Here is a 24,319-nt window from a genome sequence, read left to right as displayed (position 1 = left end):
CTGTACCCAGCCTCAGAAAACCTAGCTTTATATGTTGTTAGCACACAGAACACTCGTTTTTTTTGGGGGAAGGGGCACATGTCACTAATAGAAAGTCTCCGAAGCTGGATTGATGGGAGGAAAACACCTTTCCCTTCTAGTTTTGAGAGACTTCCTCTTGGCTCCCAAGAGGAGGGATTCCCTGACTTTGACACACATGGCCACCTTGGCACAAAAGCCTTGTGGTATGAAAAAACAAATTCGTTTTTATGTCCTCTTCTCCTTTTCCATCTTTCAGCATAAACTTAACTCCCTTAAGCCGAGACATCTGTTAGGACCTGACCCCCAGTCATTGATTACCAGTTTGTCTGGCAATCTGGACTTTCCAGTGATGCCACTGAGATGGCACCTGTCAAAAGAGCAGTGGTTCCATTTCTAGATTGTGGATCTTCAGATAAATTCTGCCATTTTCATTTCATTCCCTGAAAGTCAGGGTTGGCTTGTGAAAAGTTGTTAAACAATATGCTAAATGTGAAATGTCAACCCTCACTCTCAACTTTCCCTGTTCGGAGCATGAGATGAAGACTTCATTGGGTTTTATAGTGGCTTTCTGATTTTTGGTAATCCATTGAAGAAGGGAGTTTGAGAGTTGTTGTATACTGTTAATGATTGTCTGCCCATGTCCTGCCTGAATGGACAGTATCTTTAATAAAGCTGGATACAGTTTGGCTTAGGGAAAAAAAAAAACCCTAGCTTTAAACTTCTACATAGACCTAAAATTTCATCAGTCCCAATCTGAGCTACAACTAGATATTTCTTCTATCTTCCAACTTTTGCCAACAGTTTTAATGTTGCTGTGTAGGTTTACCTGACCACTTGACTGCTATGCTGGAAACTGGGTCGTGGGGTAACTGAAAGAGAATAAAGTACAGAATAAAAAGTTGCCATCAATGGTATGCCTGCCTTGCCTGGCCAATTTGTTGTACATGGTTATCTGGTTATATAATGTTTTCATATTACACATAAAGTTAGGAAGATCACATTATTGTCTCTGAGAGGAAACCATCTTCTACATAAGGAAAGGATATTCATCTCACACAGATATTTAGGGGAAAAATGTTCTCCACCTGACTGTGATGGGGAAGTAATGCCCACTGGTCGAGGTGTGATTGACCTGCAAGGGAAAAAAAAAGAGGCGGCTCTAATCTCTCTAGGCAGAGGTCAAGTGCCACTTTAGAGGATCAATCAGATCATTGTTTATAGAATAATAGCTTCCTCTCTGAGGACAAATTGCTTACTCTCATGTATTATAGGTAGCATCCTAAAATATGGAAGCAAAGTTTCCATATAAAACCCATTGCTCTCCAACTCCCTAAGTGGAGCTTTCTCCACCTCTGTGTTGCCCATAATAGAAGTTTTAAAGTACACCTTTCTTCTCTCCTCAGTGCCTTACCAAGTACTCTCAACCATACATCTGTCCATCCATTCATACATCCCTCCATCCTCTCATCCACCTTAAGAAACTAGAAAAATAACTAAACCCAAAGTAACCAGAAAGAAGGATGCCATCCAACAAGCATATATTTGGGTCTATATTTCCTAGATCCTGAGATTACAAAGATAACTAGAATAACTGAGAGGCTTACAGGCTAGTGGGAGAGATGAAAAAAAAAATCAGAACAGTGTTTAAGTGTTGTAATGGGCTTATCAGAAGTATAGAAGGACAAAAGAACATTAGACTGTAACTTCTATGAATGTAGGGGCAGTGTCTCTTTAATCCATAATGCAGGACTGATATTAAAAAATATATATGTGTGTGTGTGTATATATAGAGAGAGTTTTGTTTTGTTTTCTGTTTTTTTGTTTGTTTTGAGACAGAGTCCCACTCTGTCACCCAGGCTGGAGTGCAGTGGGGTGATCTCGGCTCACTACTGCCAGCTCTGCCTCCTGGGTTCCCGCCATTCTCCTGCCTCAGCCTCCCGAGCAGCTGGGACTACAGGTGTCCTCCACCACGCCCGGCTAATTTTGTTTTTGTATTTTTAGTAGAGATGGGGTTTCACCATGTTAGCCAGAACGGTCTCAATCTCCTGACCCCATGATCCGCCCACCTTGGCCTCCCAAAGTGCTGTGATTACGGGTGTGAGCCACCACACCCAGCCGATACTAAAAATATATTTAAGAGTTGGTAGAGCATAGATATCACTAATTAGAAAGGACCGGTGGTATATATCCAGCCTGTAACATGGTACCTGATAAACAGTAGGCACTTAATATTGAATGAATGAACAGACCATCTAACTCCACCTAATGCAGTCTTCACAGAGGAAATGACTGAGTTCAATTTTGAAGGATGAGTAGTGTAAAAAGTAAGGTGGAGGTTCCTCTTTAAAGACTTTCCTCTTCATCTAATTAGGAATAAATAGTAACTTCTCTTAAAAGCAAAATTTATTTAAAGACCTGTACTAACATTCTTAAATATCTGCTAGCCGTAATAAAGAAATCAATGTACTTTATGTTCTTAGCTCCCACAATTTAGCCTAAATATTTGCCCTGGCATGCTTAGATTGGTCCAAACAAGCATTAGGTTATAGTCTGTTCCTCTTCCTTATTTGAAGGTGTTTTTACCTTTCTCAGCATTCCACAAGTTACTTCCTCCTTCCTTTGTTCTCCTCTACCTTTGCCCCTTTTCATAAGTTCTAAGTTGCTAGCCAATCGGAACAAATACAGAATGTGAGGTCTGGTTCCAGCCAATGGAAACCGGACACAGCAGTAAGGTAGACGCGTCAGGTTATGAACGACCCTGTCTCCTTTGTTCAGTGTACTCTCGTGGCAAAACTGCCGGCGAGTGTACCCTTTCTGCAGGAAGTAAAAATGACCTTGCTGAGTAAATTAAATTTATGTTCAAATGCTATTTCTTTATGGCACCAGGGAACAAGCATTTCAAACACTAGGATTTCATAAGATGACAATCCAGGGTGAGCATTACAATTAAGATTTTACTTCGGCACTTTCAGTAACTAACTCTTCCTCGGAGAAGTGAAAGCTAAATTCATTAACCATTTTCTCTCTCTCAGAGTTCACACAGCCAGGAGTCAAGAAAGAACAGGAATTTTCAGGGGGCTGGGCTAGTATGGGAGCTGATAAAACTGACCTGCTTCCTTGGTACCGACTTGGAGATTCCTATAGGTGAAAAAACCAGGAGTGAAGAAAGCTGCAACTGAGGATCCTAATCAACAGATCTTCAGTCTTACTTGCGAGATAACTAAGCTCAGTGCCCCTTAGTCATGGTTGCTAAGACTCCCAGTAGGAGGAAAAGTAGCAGCAGTATTTCCTTAGGATATTATTAGCTTTGAGGGGATAAAAGTTTAGTTCTTCATAAGAGTGCATACGGAATCCCATAGACTAACATATGTGGGGAAATACGGAGTCTCTGGTGAGAGAAAGGAAAATGACACACTACAATGTGCTAGAATAATTACAGGAGTAGGATCAATAGGAAAATTATATAAATACACAGAACATTCTTAGGAAGAAAAACTATTTAGGAAGTAGAGTGTGATGCAGAGGAAGGGTCCTGAGGTATCTTTGAGTTTCTTGAAGAGAAATGTTTAAGTTGCAACAGCTGTCTCTTCTATAAGAGAGCTTTCCAACTGGTAGGTCATGACTCACTGATGTTCAGGAATGGGTTACAAGTGTGCTATATATTGATCCTTTCAGTCCCCCAAGGTCTGCTGAGACCTCATCCATTTACTATAGTGTGCTTGTTATACAAATATCAATTTCTGTGTGTGCCATGATGAGAAAAAGATTAGGAAACACTATTCTATACAGTCAGCTAGATAGATGAGAAAAGTAAGAGAGAAAATAATAATAAGGAAAATCTATTTCATTCACCTTTAGAATGGCTAGAAATTTCTTCAGTTCTCCATTCTCCTTCCTTAAGACTGACAATTCTCTAGGCAAAAGATGGAAACAATCAGCTCCAGCAAATCAGGGATTAAAAACCTGATTTTTTATTATTATAACTATTAACATCTAGTTAATACTTACTGAGAAATGCTTGCAGCTATACAAGCTATTTCTATCAGGGATTTGATGATTCAAGGAGACTAATGGCAGGGTTTTGATAATGAGAACAATTAGGTGGACAAAATAAGCAATTACTTGGTATGATTTCAGGGGAATTTGCAAAGAATTCCATTTCCTCTCTCCACCCACACACACACCCCTGGCCTGCTGATGTCTAAAAATTTTTATCAAGGACTCCATCTTGTGATTGCTTTGGCAGCACATACACTAAAATTGGAACAATACAGAGGAGATTAACATAGCCCCCAAAGAAAGTTAACATGTAAATGCTTGAAGCATTCCATAAAAAAAAAAAACAAAAAAAACTTTAAAAGAAGAAAAAAAAAGGATTCCAGACCAGCCTGGGCAATATGCAGAGACTCCTCTCTACAAAAAAAAAAAAAAAATACAAAAATTAGCCAGGCATAGTGGTGTGCACTTGTAGTCCCAGCTACTTGGGAGGCTGAGGTGGGAGGATTGCTTGAGCCCAGGAGATTGAGGCTACAATGAGTGTTATCAGTGTGAATCAGCTATATCTGATTTCCCAAGGAAGCAGATGTTTTTTTTTGTTTTTGTTTTTGAGACAGTGTCTCACTTTTTCACCCACGCTGGAGTGTCGTGGTGTGATCATAGCTCACTGTAACTCAGACTCCTGGGCTCAAACGATCTTCTGGCCTCAGCCTCCCAAGTAGCTGGGACTACAGGTGTGAACCACCATGTCTGGCTAATTTTTGTTTAAAATTTTTTTTTTTTTAGAAACAGAGTCTCGCTGTGTTGCCCAGGCTGATCTTCTCCTGGCCTCAAGTGATCTTCTGCTTCGGTCACCCAAAGTGCTGGGATTACAGGTGTGAGCCACTGCACCTGGTCTGGGAAGCAGTTTTTGATACCGAGAAATAGAAGAGGAAAACTATAAAGTGAGGAGGGCCTCTGGAGGGAAGAAAGAGAAAAAATGGAGATTCAGGGGATCAAAAATTCTGTACCTGATTTTCCCAAACAAACAAATACATATGGAGCAATTTCCAGGCTTTGCAAACACAATAAGGACTGTCACTTCTTAGAAAAAAAAAAAAAAAAAAAGCTCTCTTGGGACTTGATTTGTTACTTACTTGTCCTGGCTCACCAGTGCTTGCTGTGCCTCCTGCATGGCTGTTTCTAACTTTGTAATTCTATGCTTATAAAAGGCGATGAGGAGATCTGTTTGTTTCTTCTGGAAACTCCACACCTACTAGGGAAAAACAAGCCTTTGACATACTCTCCCATAACTCCTTTCCCTTCACTTCTGGCAAGAAAGGGAAGCCATCAAATCACACTTTATTATACTGCTCATTTTCTTCTAGAACATCTGGCCTAATTCACAACTTCCCAGAACTAGAGAGCTCAGCACTCATTTCCAGGACACTAGCCTTCTACTGTCTTTTTTTTTTTTTTTTTTGAGACAGAGTTTCGCTATTGTTGCCCAGGCTAGAGTGCAATAGTGCGATCTCGGCTCACCGTAACCTCTGCCTCCTGGGTTCAAGCTATTCTCCTGCCTCAGCCTCCCGAATAGCTGGGTTTACAGGCATGTGCTACCACGCCCAGCTAATTTTGTATTTTTAGTAGAGACGGGGTTTCTACATGTTGGTCAGGCTAGTCTTGAACTTCCGACCTCAGGTGATCTACCCACCTCAGCCTCCCAAAGTGTTGGGATTACAGGCGTGAGCCACCGCACCCGGCCCCTTTTACTATCTTAATGAGAATATTCTACCATAGTAGAATGACCCTTTAAATATATAATTTTTCATCCCGTGCAAGAAGAGAGATTTTTTTTAAAACTGTTTTTCAAGCTTAGAATTGGTTCTAACTTGTCAACTATTAGTTTGGATCAGCCTCCACATTCATAGCTATTACACAGCCTTGGTGACCAATTTATTTTCCCTAAAGACACCTACAGAGTCACCTGCAGGCTGCTTATGCTGCTATAGGAAAGGGTGGAGAGGCACAGAAGGAGATTACCTATGCTTGAATTTTTTTTCTGGGCATGCACACGTAATTTTTTATTTTGCCTCACTTTACCATTTGCTATACTAATGTGTCTATCATGGGATTGCTGAATCGGATCAAAAGTTAATATTTAGAAAGTGTTTTAGCTTTGTCAGGCTCTACTTTTGAGTACACAGCAGTATTTACGTCTCATCTGCTTCCTCCCTGTTCAGACTATAAACCCTCTTTTGTCTAGGGTCCTTTCCTAGATCTTGGTACTCTTCTCATAAACTTTTTGTTCTCACTTAATTTTCAAATTGCTCTTGCCACCTTACTAAAGAATTGTACTTAAGAGTTTCCTTTCTACTTGAAAGTAAACTAAACTAGTTTTAGATAGATAAGAATTTACTCTAGTCTATTTTTTTAAACCCTCATTTTTAATAAAACTAAAATGTTTATTTTAAGCTGTGAAAAGAAAATGTTTACTTTAAGCCAGGCATGGTGATCATGCCTATAATCTCAGAGACTCAGGAAGCCAAGGCTGAGGCAGGAGGATTGCTTGAGGCCAGGAATTTGAGACCAGCCTAAGCAACATAGCAAGACCCTGTCTCTATGAAAAATAATTTTGATTTATTTTATTTTATTTTTTTTGTGTGTGTGTGACTGAGTCTCGCTCTGTCGCCCAGGCTGGAGTGCAATGGCACGATCTCAGCTCACTGCAACCTCCGCCACCCACGTTCAAGCGATTCTCCTGCCTCAGCCTCCTGAGTAGCTGGGATTACAGGCGTCCGCCACCACGCCTGGCTAATATTTGTATTTTTAATAGAGACAGGGTTTCACCATGTTGGTCAGACTGGTCTCGAACTCCTGACCTCGTGATCCACCTGCCTCAGCCTCCCAAAGTGCTGGGATTACAGGTGTGAGCCACCATGCCCGGCCAAAAAATAATTTAAAAAATTTAGCCAGGCGTGATAATACATTCCTGTAATCTCAACTACCTGAAAGGCTGAAGTGGGTGGATTGCTTGAACCCAGGAGTTTGAGGCTGCAGGGACCCATGATCGTGCCTCTGCACTGCAGTCTGGGCAACAGAGCAACAGCCCAACTTAAAAAAATTATTTTAGAAAATTTGAATAGAGGAGGCCAGGCGTGGTGGCTCATGCTTGTAATCCTAGCACTTTGGGAGACCAAGGTGGGCAGATCACTTGAGGTCAGGAGTTCGAGACCAGCCTGGCCAATATGGCAAAACCCCGTCTCTATTAAAAATGCAAAAATTAGCCAGGCATGGTGGCGTGCACCTGTAATTCCAGCTAATGGAGAGGCTGAGGCAGGAGAATCACTTGAACCCAGAAGGTGGAGGTTGCGGTGAGCCAAGATTGCACCACTGCACTCCAGCCTGAGCAACAGAGTGAGACTCCATCTCAAAAAAAAAAAAATTAAACAGTGGAGAAGCAGAATAAAAGTCACTCTGAATCCTGGGAATTACCTAAAATGGCAGGGGGGTAGGAGTGAGGAGCAACAGAGATAAAGCTATATAATAGACAGCCAAATCACAATGTTAGTATCCCAAATATCCTAATCCTACCCTTGGGATTAGTGGGATTAGTCAGGAGTAAAATTATGTCAAAATCAGGCTAGCATCAAGATAAGCCAAATCCTACCCTAGATTAGTTAGCCCTCCCTTTGACATTACCAAGGGTCGTAAGTGCATAAACAGACCCCACTGTGGAACTCCAGGGAGCCAGACTGGACTATGGGAGGGTCTTTTGCCAGGCCTAAGCAAACCTACTTTGTCTACTTGTCCCAAAAAACTGATCATTCCAAGAAGAAGAAAGACCAGTCCAGAAAACAACCAGCAAGGAGTATTAAAGAAGCAGTGATTTTGCCTGATGCCAGGGTACAAATGTTTAGCCTATATCAAACACATTCACTGAAGAAGATTCTAAAATCTAACTCAGTAATGTACCTCAGTACAGTACTTTAAAAAATTACCAATAGTTAGCAATCTTTCAAATCCCTCAGCCTCATGAAGAGGTTGGTCTCTTTCGTTTTTCCAAAGAAGATTAACTTTTGTTTGCTTGCTTGCTTTTTTAAAAATTAAAAAAATTTTTTTAGAAATGATATCTTGCTATATTGCCCAGACTGGTCTTGAACTCCTGGTCCCAAACAATCCTCCTGCCTTGGCCTCCCAATAACTTACTTTTTCTTAAAGGTGTGATTATTTTGTTAATACAGTAACACAGAGCTGATAATAATAAAAGTAGTTCTATTGATGATAACACTTAACATTGTCTGGATAATGCAAGTGTTAAATATTGTTTGTTTTATTGGAACATTGATACCAACATTTTATTGGTATGAAACTATCTACTTCTATACCCTGATTCCTTTCCTTTATCTCCATACTAGGACCAGGTAAGGATATCATGGTCTTCATGCTCTGGATTCCTACCATTTTACTATTGATAACATGTCAAAATACAAAATTACAACAAATTTAGTTTAAAGATATTAACTGGCTTTGATTTGCAGTCCTAGACTTGAGGAACACATTATTCTAAAACACAGAATGAGTGTTCTGATTAACTGAGAAGACAAGTTGGCTTTTTAGGCAGAAAAGGGCTGAAGAAAGCAGAAACAGAGAACAAAAAGTGCATAGGTTGGTTCAAAGTTACTTTCCTTGTAAAGGGTAAAGCAGAGGGGACTTCTTTATTATGCCAGCTAAAATTGGCCTGTTTGGAGATTTAGCTATTACCTCTCTCTCTCCTGATTTCTTGGAAGATCAGATGAACTGTCAGCATGAGTAATTCCATTTTGGTTTGGTCTGTTGGACCTAGTACAGAAACTCAATCCAAACCAACAGCCTTGTATAAACTTTATTTTATATATGAAACATAATTTTTATTTTATATGCTTGAGAGAGCATATTAAAACTTCAGTTCTGAATTAGGTCCAACAAAAGGTTGGAAAGAGTAAAGGAGAAATAACTGAAAAATACTGAGAGAGGCACAGTAATGGAAGCAAAGGGGGAGCTTAGTAGGTTTACTATGATAAGACAAGACGTTTTGGTCCAATGTGGGTTATTGTAAACAAAACATTCTTGTTTGTTTATAAAACTAGGCCAGGTGCAGTGGCTCATGCCTGTAATCTTGGCACTTTGGGAAGCCAAGGTGGGCAGATATCTTGAACTCAGGAGTTTGAGAACAGCCTGGGCAACGTGGCAAAATGCTATCTCTACCAAAAGCACACACATACAAAAAAGTAATATATGCTTTGGAAATGAATATTAGTTTGATTATCATTTTTGTACTAAAGAATGACCTTCCCAGTTCTTATTTTTATTTATTTTTATTTTGATAGAGATGGGGTCCTGCTATGTTGCCCAAGCTGGTCTCAAATTTCTGGCCTCATGTCATCCTCCAAGTGCTGGGATTATAGGAGTGAGCCACCATGCCCAGTTTTAGTTTTAGTTTTTGTTTTTGTTTTTGTTTTTTTGTTTTGTTTTGTTTTGTTTTGTTTTGTTTTTGAGATAAAGAGTATTGCTCTGTCACCCAGGCTGGAGTGCAGGGGTTTGTTCACAGTTCACTGCAGGCTCAACCTCCTGGACTCAAGTGATCCTCCCACTTCAGCCTCCCGAGTAGCTGGGACAACAGGTGCATGCCACCATACCCCTCTAATTTTTTAATTTTTTTCTTCTTAAGAGAAAGGGTCTTACTATGTTGCCCAGGCTGATCTCAAACTCCTGGGATCTAGCCGTTCTCCCACTTCGGCCTCCCAAAGTGTTGGGATTACAGGAATGAGCCACTGTGCCTAGCCTTAGTTCTTATTTTTAAATGTCAGCATTTGTATTTAGTTGAAGATTTATTTTTGCACGCAATTTAATTTTTGAACATCTGTAAATAAGTCACTAAGTTTTAGAAATTCACTTTAAAGATATTGGTAAATTCACGATCTCTTTGACATTCAAAACCTATTAGTTTGCCTTATCTATCTTTTGTGAAACTCCCTCATTCCATAATATCTACAAGCAAGTCTTAGTATTTTTGAACTATATATCTGGATAATCATTTGCTTGATAAAAGGACATTTCTCTTTAGAAGTACTCCAACTAAAAAAATAAGAAAGGATGACAGAATTGGAATTTTACAACTTCTAATGAATTAAGGATCTCTGCAAAGTTCATCAATGGCTACCCTCATACAAAATAAGAGACATAGACCATTAAGTACCTCTTGGTGGAATACAACACTAGAATAAAGTGGTCTTGCCTCACCTTTCCCCGCCCCCAAACCAATGATGGTGATAAACCCTAAACTTACCTAACAATTTACAAGAAATAGAGGACAGAGGAACATATGAAATGACTCCATAGGTACAATAAACAAAATCCACACTGTGAACAACTCTATAGACAAAAGACCATTTTCTTCAATAATAACTTAAAAAGAAACAAGAGAAAACTTATAGTGTAAAAGAAACTTAAGAGACATAATAACCAACTGAAATATATACCTTTATTGAAACTCAATTCAAAATGTGGGAACATTTTAAAACTGAGACAACTGGAGAAATGTGAATGGGGACTGATAATTTGATAATATTATGGAATTGTTATTTTAGCATGATGTGGTTATATTTAAGAAAAAAGTTCCTATCTTTTAGAGATACACACTGAAATGTTTACAGATAGAAATGACGTAATATTTGGTTTTGGCTTTAAAATAATCTGGGTGGGGGTGGCAAGAGGTATGGATGGAGGAAAACTGGCCATTCACTGATAATTGTTGAAGTGGAGTGATGGATGCATGAAAATAAACCGTCCTCATAGGGTTTAACAAGAATTACATGCTTGGCTCTGGACAGAAATATAGTTATAATTAAGCATTAATCAGGCTGCACTTGGCCCACTTCCTTTTAGCTGCGAAAGTCACATCACACTAGATGCTGACCATTTGCATCCTCATTGTTCTCATAAATAGAATATGACATTAGAATCATAAGGCTTTTGCTTAAAAGTTGCTTAAGATAGTTTTCAGATCCTGAATTCCAGTGGAACAGTGAGTCTAAAGACCCCCACAGAGGAACTGAATCAGCATGAGAATGCAATTTCTTCATCCCCGCTTCTCATGACTTCAACCTGCATTCCTTAACCAATCAATGATCCCCACACCTTGGCTTACTACCTGTCCAACCCTTTAAAAACCTCTAGCCTCAAACTCCTCCTGGAGGCAAATTTGAGGTTTCCTATCTCCTTGTTCAGCTGTCTTATGATTAAACCCCTTTCTCTGCTGCAACCCAGTGTCTTGGTGTACTAATTTGCCATGCACTGGGCAATGAACCTGATATGGTTCAGAAATTAATTATATTATACATATCATTATATTCTTTTAAACATTTGAAATTACATGTGATGAAATCATAATAAACTTTTTTTTAATGGGCTGATTTTGAGGGGGATCTTTTGAACAGGGTGTGGTGTAAGAAATACATATATGGTCTTCGCCCCTGGTTCCTCACAGAGTTACTAAAACCTTTGGCATTTCCTGAGTGATAGGAGCATCTTTTGTTATTCATAACAAGCTCCTTTCAACCATACCTGAATGTGTGCTAATGAGGTGACTCTTGGTGGGTCCTAGGTAGCATCAAAATGGGGACTTGTTGCCAGGGGAACCAAACACTGTTTAGAGGGTTGGGGTCCCAACCTTTCTTCCCACGCCCCCCAACCCCTGACAATCAGAGAGGGAAAAGGGGCTAGAGATTGAGTTCAATCGCCAATGACAAATTCTTTAATCAATCATGCCTATGTAATGGAACGTTCATAACAACTCCTGAACAAGGCGGTTCAGAGAGTTACCAAGTTGGTGAACACTTGGAGGTGCTGGGAGGGTAGTGCATCTGGAGAGGGTATGGAAGCTCTGCACCCCTCCTCACATACTTTGCATCTTTTCCATTTGGCTATTTCCATGATATATGGTTTTCTTTCTTTCTTTTTTTTTTTGAGACAGAGTCTCACTCTGTTGCCAGACTGGAGTGTGGTGGCACAATCTTGGCTCACTGCAACCTCCACCTCCCAGGTTCAAGTGATTCTCCTGCTTCAGCCTCCAGAGTAGCTGGGATTACAGGCGCCCGCCACCACACCCATCTACTTTTGGTATTTTTAGTAGAGGCAGGGTTTCACCATGTTGGCCAGGCTGGTCTCGAACTCCTGACCTCAGGTGATCTGCCCGCCTCAGCCTCCCAAAGTGCTGGGATTACAGGCGTGAGCCACTGCACCTGGCCCCTATGTTGTATCTTTTATAATAAACTGGTAATAATAAACAAAGTACTTTTCTGAGTTCTGTGAGTCATTCTAGCAAATTATTGAAGCTTGTGGGAGCAGGAGGAAGTTCATGGGAATCCTCAAGTTTGTTGTTGGCCAGTCTGAAGTATTTTAGCCTGGGTACCCCATTTGTGGCTGGTGTCCAGAGTCGGGGCAGTCTTGTGAGGCTGAGCCCTAAACATGTGAAGTATGATACTAAAACTCTAGGAATTAGTGTTAGAATTGAATTGAATTGAATTGAATTGTTGCATACCTAGTTGGTGTCAGAGAACTGGTTGGTATCAGAAAACATCTCACACAGGGGCAGAAAATATATAGTGCAAATATTATTCATCTTTCCATTTAGCAAACCTTTACTGAACACTTTACGTCAGGCATAAGAACTGGAAATGCTAAGATGAATAGTATGGGTTCTTGTCTTTTAGTAGTGTCAAAGGAAAATATGTTGGACCCCCCAAATCACTAAGCTAAAGGGAAAAGCCAAGCTGGGAAATGCTCAGGGCAAACCTGCCTTTCATTCTATTCAAAGTCACCCTTCTGCTCACTGAGATACATGCATATCTGATTGCCTCCTTTGGAGAGGCTAATCAGAAACTCAAAAGAAGGCAACCATTGGTCTCTTATCTACCTATGACCTAGAAGCCCCTTCCCACTTTGAGCTGTCCCACCTTTCCCGATCGAACCAATGTTCATCATACATATGTTGATTGATGTCTCATGTCTCCCTAAAATGTATAAAACCAAACTGTACTCTGACCACCTTGGGCACATGTCGTCTGAACCTTCTGAGGCGCATGTCCTCAATCTTGGCAAAATAAACTTTCTAAATTAACTGAGACTTGTCTCAGATTTTCCGGGTTTACAGTAGCTTATCACAGTCTAGTAGAAGAGACATTCTGACACATGAACTAATAAGTAAAACACTAGGTTATACGCAGAACACAAGTACTTACAAGATATAGAGATAATGATTAAGAGGTAATTATTAATTCAGTCTTTTTTTTTTTTTTTGAGACAGAGTCTCGCTCTGTCACCCAGGCTGGAGTGCAGTGGCACATTCTAGGCTCACTGCAACCTCTGCCTCCCAGGTTCAAGCAATTCTCATGCCTCAGCCTCCCAAGCAGCTGGCATTACAGGCACGCGCCACCATGACACCTGGCTAATTTTTTGTATTTTTAGTAGAGACAGGGTTTTACCATATTGGCCAGGCTGATCTTGAACCCCTGACCTCAAGTGATCCACCCCCTCAGCCTCCAAAAGTGCTGGGATTAGAGGCGTGAGCCACCACGGCTGGCCTAACTTAGTTTTTAAAGTGTAGAAATCAGGCATTTCAGGTATAAAGGTATGAAAGTATATGGTCTGTAAAAGAACTGCAAAGAACTGAATCTGCCTAATAGATTAGGTAATAAATAACCTTACGTAATAACTTGTGTTTGTACATGAGAGGTGAGATGGTAGTTGTGATTGAAATTGGAGAGGTTAGGAGGAACCAGAACGTTAAGGTAACTATGTATCACTCTGAGCAGTCTGAAACTTAAGTGATAGGAAGCCACCAAAGGATTTTGAAAAGGCAGTTACTTGTTCAGATTTGTAATTGAAATAGATTATCGTGACGGTTCAGAGGGAACAGATTTGAGGAAAAAAGAACCCTAAAAATGCTTTCTTAGCAAAAGCAATTGGAGAATTGTTAGTAAGATGTCTGAAGTACCCACTCTGGATGAGAGCCACAGCAGCCCACCAGGCAGAGGGTTATGTTTTGGGTTGCACAGTTTGTATGATCAAAGGAATACTACCTCACACTGGCCTAAGGTTCCTCAATCCCCTGCTCAGTAGTGATGAAGAATTCAACTACACTGTTTCAGAAGTCCTAAATACTGAAAGCTTTTCCTTTTTAGGTAAAATAATATCAAACTAAATACAACTTTTCTTCAAAAGCACCATTGAGTATCTCTTTTTAATTTTTTATTTTTACACAAGCTGGAGTATGGTGGTGCAATCATGGCTCACTGCAGCCTCAACCTCTTGGGATCAAGCAATTCTCCCACCTCAGCCTCCTGAGTAGCTGGACTACAGGTGTGTGCCACCATGCCCAGCTAATTTTTAAATTTTTTGTAGTGAAGGGGTTTCACTATGTTGCCCAAGCTAGTCTCAAACCCCTGGCCTCAAGCAATCCTCCCACCTTGGCCTCCAAAGTGGTATGAACCACTGCGCCTGGCCCACTGAGTACCTCAGTTGTTCAAATTCTTAATTCAGCTGAGGGATGGAGAAGCTCTGGTCTATTGATGAGATCAAATCTTGACCTGATTTTATTCCAACAGTATATGTAGCAATTATGTATGTATATATTAGTAAAAACATATGACTTCAAAAATCTTTTAAAAACCATAAAATAGACCAAGGGTCAGCAAACAACTGACCATAACCAGCTGTCTGTTTTTGTAAATAAGTTTTATTGGAACATAATTACACACATTTGCTTACATGCTGTCTGTGGCTGCTTACATGCTGTCTATGGCTGCTTCCATGCTACAACAGCAGAGTTGGGTAGCAGCATCGGAAATTGTATGGCCTGCAAAGCTTAAAATATTTACTGGCCTGCTGTGGTCTGAATATTTGTGTCCCACAAAAATTCATTTGTTGACACTCAACTCCCAATGCAATAGTATTAAGAGATGGAGGCTTTAGGAGGTGATTATGTCATGAAGGCTTTGCTCTTGTGAATGGGATTAGTGTCCTTATAAAAAGAGGCTTGGGGGCCGGGCGTGATGGCTCATGCCCATAATCTCAGCACTTTGGGAGGCTGAGGTGGGCGGATCACGAGGTCAGGAATTCGAGACTAGCCTGACCAACACGGTGAAACCCCATCTCTATTAAAAATACAAAAATTAGCCAGGTGTGGTGGCGCATGCCCGTAATCCCAGCTACTCAGGAGGTGGAGGCAGGATAATTGCTTGAACCCGGGAGGCGGAGATTGCAGTGAGCCGAGATCGTGCCACTGCACTCCAGTCTGGGCGACAGAGCAAGACTCTGTCTCAAAAAAAAAAAAAAAAAAAGAGGCTTGGGGTTGGGCGTGGTGGCTCATGCCTGTAATTGCAGCACTTTGGGAGGCTGAGGCGGGCAGATTGCGTGAGCCCAGGGGTTCGAGACCTGGGCAACATGGTAAAACCCTGTATCTATTAAAAAAAAAAAAACACAAAAACTAGCCAGGTGTGGTGACATGTGCTTGTAGTCCCAGCTACCTGGGAGGGTGAGGTGAGAGGATCGCCTGAGCTCAAGAGGGCAAGGCTGCAGGGAGCCATGATTGCACCACTGGCCACAACCACACCACTGCACTCCAGCCTTTGTGACAGAGTGAGACCCTGTCTCAAAAAACTAAATAAAAAGAGGCTTGAAGGAGCCTGTTTGCCACTTTTGCCATGTGAGGATGCAGCAAGAAGGCATTATCTTGGAAGCAAAGAGTAAGCCCTCCCCCGACACTGAATCTGTTAGTGCCTTGATGTTGAACTTCCCAGCCTCCAGAACTGTTAAAATTAAATTTCTGTTATTTAGAAATTGCCCAGTCTAAGGTATTTTATTATAGCAGCCCAGACAGACTAAAAGAGCTGCTAAGGATGTAAAATGGTACAGCCACTTGGGAAAACAGTCTGGCAGTTCCTAAAAAAGTTAAATATAGAGTTACCATTTGACCCAGAAATTCCACTCGTAGGTATATACCCAAGAGGAATAAAAATATATGTCCATGTAAAAACTTGTACATAAATGTTCCATAGCAATATTACTTATAATAGCCCCAAAGTAGGAACAACCCAAATGTCTATTGACTAATGAATGGATAAGTAAAATGTATATCCATTTATATAATAGATTATTATTTGGCCATAAAATGGAATGAAATACTAATAAAGTCCTAACAGAGATGCTACAACATGGATGAAACTTGAGAGCATTATACTTAGTGAATGCAGCAAGTCACAAAAGACCATACATTATATGATTCCATATTTATGAAATGCCCTGAACAGGAAAAACCATAGCAACAGAAAGTAAATTAGTGATCGCCTGGGGATGGGGAGGGTGGGAAGGGTTTGGGAAGTGCCTGCCGATAAGTACAGAGCTTCTTTCTGGGGTGATGAAAATGTTTGAAAATTAGGCAGTAGTGTTTGCACAATTCTGTGGATGTATTAAAAACCACTGAATTGCATACTTTAAAAGGGTAAATTTTATGGTATGTAAATTACATCTCAATAAAGCTGTTATTAAAAAAGAAGGTGATTGCATGAAAACTAGTGGACCTAAAAAAAAAAGTAGATGGGGTGTTTATACTTCCCCTTGAAAACAATTTTTTTTTTTTTTGAGATGGAGTTTTGCTCGTGTTGCCCAGGCTGGAGTGCAATGGTGCGATCTTGGCTCACCGCAGTCTCCACCTCCCAGGTTCAAGTGATTCTCCTGCCTCAGCCTCCCGAGTAGCTGGGATTAAAGGCACGTGCCACCACACCTGGCTAATTTTTTATTTTTAGTAGAGACGGGGTTTCTCCATGTTGGTCAGGCTGGTCTCGAACCCCGGACCTCAGGTGATCCACCCACCGTGGCCTTCAAAAGTGCTGGGATTACAGGCGTGAGCCACCACACCCGGCCAACAATTTTTTAAAATACAAACTTCTTTTCACTTATATGATCTTCAACTATTTTTAAGTGGGTTTGTGATCACTCATAACCTTTCATGACTTTTCCACATTATTCTTTAAACTAATAAAGTACAGTTTTCAGATTGGGCATGGTGGCTCACACCTGTAATCCTGGCACTTTGGTAGGGCAAGGTGGGAGGACTGCTTGAGGCCAGGAGTTTGAGAACAGCCTGGGCAATATAGCAAGACTGTCTCTGTTTTTTGTTTGTTTTTTTTTAAAGTACTTTACAGTTTTTAAAATATTTCCATAAACATTGTCTCATTGGATCTTTACAAGAAGTAGGATAAGTATTATTATTTCATATTACATGTGAGGAAGTATGACTGGTTCAAAGAAATAAAGCTATAAGTTAGCAGGCCGAGTTGGTCATTAGATTTCTACATCAACAGTTTTCCCAGTATTATCACTTTACTGTATTTCATATACATTAAAGGAAAACTTCAATAGGGAAGATTAGTTCATTAATTCTTTCATAAATTATTTATTGAATCCTTCTATGCTCCTGGTACTATGTTAGGAGCTGACATATAAGATGAGTAAGATTGAAATTGCCCTGCCCCCAGGAGAATCGCTTGAACCCTGGAGGCAGAGGTTGCAGTGAGCTGAGATCTTGCCACTGCACTCCAGCCTGGGTGACAGACAAAAGCAAGACTCCATCTCAAAAAAAAAAAAAGAAAAGAAAACTTACAGACTTACAGATCTATATGAGGTTCTCCAGTCCCTCAGAAAGATTATCTTGAGGTGAGTAAAGAATTCAAAACAGTCAGCTTGATCAACTATTAGCACAAAGTACAGCAGAAAAATGGCCTTAAGTCTTTGTAGAGATTGGAGAACATAAAAACATAAATAGATATTTACAACAACATTCCATTCATTCATTCATTCAATGACAACGTCTTGAGCGTCCACTACTTATTAAGGACTATTAAAAGAGAACAATAAGCAAAACCAACCAAATCTGTTTTCATGGAGCTTATATTCCAGTGCAGGATTCAGACAACAAATATATAACATAATGTTAGAGAAAAGAACTACAATGCAAAAAAAAGCATGGTAAGGAGTAGAAAATGTTGGGGCTACTATTTGAAATATGAGAGTCACTAAAGGACTGACTGAAGAAGAATGTTTTGAGCAGAAGCCTGAATGAAACAATCTAGGTATTGGATCAGTTACTCAGCTTCACAAATTAGGAAAACACATTTTCAGACTTTGCTGACTTCACCAAATTGGCCCTTCACTAAAGTGATGATTAACTGACCCTTTCCATTTCTTTTATCTTGATACTTGACCATGTGTAATTGGTCCCATGATCAGGCAGGTTAGGATTCAGACTACATATGATTTCTCTACTGATCATTAACTATGCCTAGGTTTATTTATTAACTAAAGGTCTGCTCTTTCTCTTGTTCCTATGACCTTGTTTACATTTCTCCTTGAGTCTCAGCTGGATTTTAATATACTTATAATGTTAAATATAGTGTATGTCAAATATGATGGCTCAACCAAGCAGCTAAAGACAGCAAGCAGCAAGCCTTAATTCCCCTTACTCCATCTCTAGAGTGAGGATTGAGAGGCAGGACACTGAAGAAAAATTAAATCTTCAACCAGAAAATGACTAAGGATCATCTTGAGGTTTAGAAAAGGGGTATTTTCAAAAGAATAAGAAGTAAGAGTATAGAAAGGGAACAGTGATAAAAACCTCAAGAAATATGCCAAGATAGGAATTCCATGAGGCTATAGAATAATCTAAGAGAAATGGGGAGTAGAAGGAAAAAAACCAAAGTTTTTACAACTTGGGAACTCTCTCAAATGGTTGTCCTGCCTTCTCTCTACCTTCTTCTACATTCCTGTTGCTCCTGATCAAGTCAATTGTATGCCAACATATGACACATCAAGAAAAGATATTTCCTAAAATTCAAGCAACCAGTTATGAACACTAAATGAAGAGGTAAGTATTACTAAAAAGGTTATTGAAAAGTGAGAATGGGAAACAAGAAATACTCTCGTAAACTTAGTGCTATAAACTACTGGTTGCAAGTTAAACCATCAAACCTATTGTTTGCAGGGCCAGGCCTATATACTCAAAGCAATTTTTAGAAGGTGCATCTATCTGCTGAGAAAAATGATAAAGCTCCCTAAAACAACCTTTAGTCGTAGAAATTAATTAATACAACTAGGAAATACAAGGCAAGATGTTAGCTACTTAGTGACTTTTACAGCCTATCACAGATTCTGGGTCAATAAAAAGTTAACTGATTGAAATTTGTATCATCAAGGAAGAAAGCAAAGAAAGCAGTCAATTTCCCTCCATTGTGTACAAATGCAGTTTAAAGAAAACCTTTGATAAAGGAATAAGATGCAATTAGAATTTGCCTGGAGAGTCAGATTTTCTTCACTTTTGTTTCTCATACCTGAGAGATGTGACTAAAATACTGCAAAGCTGTCTCCACAGGACTTTTGAAAAACATCTTCTCCTGAGGCTTCAGCTACGAAGAGAGCAATACACACTGTGAGAATATCCACAATTGAATAAAATAAAATACTGACTAACATGACAAAAGATGTACCACCTTTTCTAATGTACCTGACATTATCTCCACTGTGTGTAAAAGGGAGATCTCCACTCTTCTAGATGTACATTATATGTCCAATTCTCCTTACCTTGTGCTTCTGTAACAGTGGTCACAAATAATGCTTCCATCTGTTGTTTATACTTTTTTTTTTTCTTTGAGACAGAGTTTTGCTGTTGTCACCCAGGCTGGAGTGCAGTGGTGTGATCTAGGCTCATTGCAACCCTCGCCTTTTGGGTTCAAGTGATTCTTCTGCCTCAGCCTCCTGAGTAGCTGGGATTACAGGTGCCTACCAACACACCCAGCTAATTTTTGTATTTTTAGTAGAGACGAGGGTTTCCTCATGTTGGCCAGGCTGGTCTCGAACTCCTGACCTCAGGTGATCCACCCGCATCAGCCTCCCAAAGTGCTGGGATTACAGGTGTGAGCCTCCTCAGCTGGCCTGTTATTTATACTCTTTTTACAAACTTCTATCTGCAAGTTTGTTTCTTTGCTTGCTTGCTTGCTTGCTTGCTTGCTTTTTTTTTTTTTTTTTTTTTTTTTGAGACAGAGTCTTACTCTGAGCCCAAGCTGGAGTGCAGTGGCGCGAGCTCAGCTCACTGCAACTTCCACCTCCTGGGCTCAAGTAATTCTCGTGCCTCAGCCTCCCAAGCTGCTGGGACTACAGGCCCGCACCACCACGCCTGGCTAATTTTTTATATTTTAGTAGAGACAGGGTTTCACTATGTTGCCCAGGGTGGTCTCAAATTCCTGAGCTCAGGCGATCCACCCGCCTTGACCTCCCAAAGTGCTGGGATTACAGGCCTGAGCCACCACGCCCGGTCTTCTTTTCTTTCTTTTTGAAACAATTCATCATCTGTACTTTGTATATACTTCCTACAGGCCAGGAATGGGATGAGACAGTTTGTGGCAGGGGGAGAAAAACTTACATTATCAGAAAGAGCCAGATGCTTGCAGGCAGTTCCACAAACAGCACATTTTTCTGGGAGGAAAAGGGAAAAAAATATTTGGCTCTCATGAGCATGAGGTAAGATTTAAAGACTTAAAGTACATGGCAACAATCTAGTATGCTAGCAAAGGAAGAAAAAAAGGGTTCTTAACTGAATTTAGAATATCATTGTGTTATAAAAGGACATCAACTTAAGCTCTGTTCTCTAAACAAGTGTTTCCAAACTAATATGTTGAGATATAAGTAGGGCTTTCACACCGTACGTCTACCCATCTCCCTATCTTTTTAAATTTTATTTTACTTTTTCTTTGAGACAAGGTCTCACTCTATCACCCAGGCTGGAATGCAGTGGCACAATTATGGCTCACTGCAGCCTCAACCTCCCGGGCTCAAGTGATCCTCCTGCTTCAGCCTTCTGACTAGCTGGGACCACAGGCGCACACCACCACCTCAACTCATTTTAATTTTGTTATTATCTTTAGAGATGGAGTCTCCCTATGTTGCTCAAGCTGGTCTTGAACTCCTGGGCTCAAGTGATCCTCCCACCTTGGCCCCCGCAAAGTGGTGAGTTTATAAGCATGAGCCACCACCCCAGCACCTCCTGCCCCATCTTTTTATAAATTCCCAATTTTCTTCTGTGGGACAGAAGGGACAATTCTAAACTCCCAGCAGAAGTACTGGAGTACATTTACAAGAGTGAGGAAGAGTACAAGATACCAAAGATCTTAACTTTAAGTTACTCTTTTTTATTCTATTGACCTGACAGCAGGCACACATTGGGCACTGTAAGAAAGTCCCCAGTTATGCCTACCTTGTCATCACTTTGCTAATATTTGTTAATCTTGCTTTGAAGCTCTGCTACTCTCATTCCCCAATTAACCCAATCTGAAAGAAGCAAAAATTAAGATTCCTAATCTTTCCCTGTAAAGTGAAATTTTAGTAGTGGGACTGGTCATTGATTAAGACAAATGCCATGTCAGGAGAAAACATCACATGGCATATGCTTCACGGAGACAAACCACTCCAAAGTGAGCTGCTGTTACCATAGTAAACAGCTTTTTACATTAGCGAACTTTAAAAGGTCATGAGATTGGTACAGAGAAAAAACCTTCCCCTGAGGCTACTTAACTTGACTGTTCTTTCTCTGGGGACTAAAGGTTTTTCTTTTTCTTTTTCTTTTCTTTTTTTTTTTTTTTTTTTTTTTTTTGAGACGGAGTCTTGCTCTGTCGCCCAGGCTGGAGTGCAGTGGCACGATCTTGGCTCACTGCAAGCTCTGCCTCCGGGGTTCACACCATTCTCCTGCCTCAGCCTCCTGAGTAGCTGGGACCATAGGCGCCCGCCACCATGCCCGGCTAATTTTTTGTAGTTTTAGTAGAGATGGGGTTTCACCGTGTTAGCAGGATGGTCTCAATCTCCCGACCTTGTGATCCACCCGCCTCGGCCTCCCAAAGTGCTGGGATTACAGGCATGAGCCACTGCGCCCGGCCAGGTTTTTCTTTTTCCCAGTCCGTAACGTTGCCAGAGTGAGCTAGAAAGTACATAACATTCTTCTCTTAAAACAAAACAAAACAAAAAAATGGCTTACACCTGTAATCCCAGCACTTTGGGAGGCTGAGGCAGGCGGATCACTTGAGGCCGGGAGTTCGAGATCAGCCTGGCCAACATGGTGAAACCCCATCTCTACTAAAAATACAAAAGTTAGCCAGGCATGGTGGTGCATGCCTATAATTCCAGCTACTCAAGTGGCTGAGACATGAGAATCGCTTGAACCTGGGAAGCAGAGGTTGCAGTGAGCCAAGATTGTGCCACTGCATTCCAGCCTGGGTGACGAAGTGAGACTATGTCAAAAACAAAACAAAACAAAAACTCCCACAGGTCTCCATCACCTGCAGGATGAAGTTCAGGCTCTTTAGCCCAGTGTATAGAGCCTTCCATCATCCGACACTGCCTACTTCACTAGCCTCATCTCTCACCACTTCTTACCTTACTGTTTATACTCTAACAATCTCAACTATGTGTAGTCCCCTGCACTATGGTTTTGTGATGTAATATGTCTTTGTACATGCTGTTCTCTTAAACTAGAATAAATCTTCCCTGCCTTATCCACTTGGCAAATTCCATTTTATCATTCAAAACCCTACTGAAGAATCACTCCTTCTGTGAAGTCTTCCGTGATCAAAACACCCTACCCCAAGTCCCTCTTCTAGGGATTTACACACCTTGTAAGTATTGCAGCATTAAAAAAAAAGACACTGAAATTTAAGTATCCTTTCTAAGACTTAATAGCAATAAGAACTTGGTCAAATCACTTATCCTCTCTGAGCCAGTCTCTTCATTTGTAAAATGATTCTACTAATAATTACCACCTGGGCTTGTGGTGAGGCTTACATAAAATTGGTTGATATGAAACTGCTTTTTAAGCTGCAAAGGTATCATCATCATCATTTCTAATCAAATTGATGTCACAGACTAGACCACTTCCCCTTTAGAAATGGCTCTTCTATCAGCCAAACTTTCCTCTATTCCCATCCATTATACTTATTCTATCTCTTTTCCCTGAAGAATCTGATGCCTTGTGGCTTTCCCTGCCAGACTTCAAAACACTAACGAGTACATTCTAGTCCTCAAGTAATAGATTTGCTAAATCATTTGCTAAATAATTTAGGACCATTCTTTATTAATGGATTCCTTCAATTTCTAAAATTGACAGTTTCCTACAGTATCTTTATCACCATTGACCTAATAAGTGATTTTTATCCTAAGTCACACATAGAAATGGCTACTCCTTACATCCTTACATGAAAACATTTTTCCCTGAATCTGAAAACAGTTGAGTCACTCACCCAGAGTCACACACTTTTTACAGAAAATATGGCCACAGCTGGTGACAAAGAAATGGGCCCCATCTTTTCGGAAGCACTGGTTGCAATGAAACCAATCCATTCTGGAGCAGATAAAGAGAAAGAGTAAGAATAACCTAGAGAATAACATAATTATAGCTGTTCCAAAATCTATGTAACCGTGCTTGCTTAGCTTCTGATAGCTTTTTGGGATGTGGCATATCATTGTGGGTATTCCAATTGGTTGTAAAGAAGTATATGTACATATACAGTGAAAAAAAAGCAGACTGCTTTTTATAACAGCAGGTTGTTATAACATTTTATATATAAATGTGTGTGTGTGTATATATATATACATATAAACACACATTTAGAAAAGTAATGGACAGACAGTGGTGAGATTTTTTTTTTTTTGAGTGGTGAGGTTATGAGTGTGTGTGTGTGTGTGTGTGTGTTTTCCTTTACTTTTTTTTCCCCCAGGTTTTCTGGATTAATACATGTGCCAGTTTGTAATTAGAAAATACAATCCTGGCCAAGCACAGTGGCTCACGCCTGTAATCCCAGCACTTTGGGAGGCCGAGGCAGGTGGATCACCTGAAGTCAAAAGTTTAAGACCAGCCTGGCCAACATGGTGAAACCCCATCTCTACTAAAAATATAAAAATTAGCTGGGCATGGTGGCAGGCACCTGTAATCCCAGCTAATCAGGAGGCTGAGGCAGGAGAATCACTTGAACCCAGGAGGCAGAGGTTGCAGTGAGCTGAGACCGTGCCATTGCACTCCAGCCTAGGCGACAGAGCCAGACTCCGTCTCAAAAAAAAAGAAAAAGAAAAAGAAAAAAGAAAATACAATCCTAAAAATATAAAAACAAAAAATGAATCGTCCATTTCTTTTTTAACTACTTCCTGTGATATGGTGAGAGTGGAGCCAAGAGAAGGTAGTGAACCAGAA

At 40.4% G+C, this 24,319-nt stretch overlaps 1 protein-coding gene and 2 pseudogenes across 7 annotated transcripts in view, besides 1 other annotated feature; 2 read left to right on the top strand and 1 right to left on the bottom strand.

Moving 5' to 3' along the window:
- RNF212B (ring finger protein 212B) overlaps nucleotides 1-24,319 on the bottom strand; it is an 88,142-nt gene that overhangs the window by 9,660 nt on the left and 54,163 nt on the right. For 4 of the 7 annotated variants that reach the window (NM_001370218.3, XM_011536323.3, XM_011536316.3 and 1 more), the window contains 8 exons: nucleotides 23,373-23,473; nucleotides 20,510-20,562; nucleotides 19,422-19,496; nucleotides 5,154-5,269; nucleotides 3,874-3,934; nucleotides 3,131-3,159; nucleotides 1,107-1,153; nucleotides 848-890 (listed from right to left, as the gene is read on the bottom strand). In NM_001370218.3, coding sequence (NP_001357147.1) covers nucleotides 848-890; nucleotides 1,107-1,153; nucleotides 3,131-3,159; nucleotides 3,874-3,934; nucleotides 5,154-5,269; nucleotides 19,422-19,496; nucleotides 20,510-20,562; nucleotides 23,373-23,472 — 524 coding nt within the window. In that variant the 5' untranslated portion in view covers nucleotide 23,473. Of the gene's footprint in view, nucleotides 1-847; nucleotides 891-1,106; nucleotides 1,154-3,130; nucleotides 3,160-3,873; nucleotides 3,935-5,153; nucleotides 5,273-19,421; nucleotides 19,497-20,509; nucleotides 20,563-23,372; nucleotides 23,474-24,319 lie in introns of all 7 variants that reach the window. The other 3 variants (XM_011536328.3, XM_011536319.3, XM_011536327.3) reach the window with 3 other exon arrangements.
- HMGN2P1 (high mobility group nucleosomal binding domain 2 pseudogene 1) lies at nucleotides 31-717 on the top strand (annotated as a pseudogene).
- On the top strand, nucleotides 4,252-4,358 carry RNU6-1046P (RNA, U6 small nuclear 1046, pseudogene; annotated as a pseudogene).
- Nucleotides 11,444-11,738: a silencer, noted in NCBI's record as "tiled region #597; K562 Repressive non-DNase unmatched - State 23:Low". NCBI's record gives its function as "represses a minimal TATA promoter and a strong SV40 promoter by Sharpr-MPRA in K562 cells {active_cell/tissue: K562}" and the evidence as "EXISTENCE:reporter gene assay evidence [ECO:0000049][PMID:27701403]".

This window comes from Homo sapiens, chromosome 14 (genome assembly GCF_000001405.40).
Source record: "Homo sapiens chromosome 14, GRCh38.p14 Primary Assembly".
Classification (NCBI taxonomy): Eukaryota; Metazoa; Chordata; class Mammalia; order Primates; family Hominidae; genus Homo; species Homo sapiens.
Note: the sequence above shows the minus strand (reverse complement) of the source record. Positions and strands in the feature narration are given on the sequence as shown.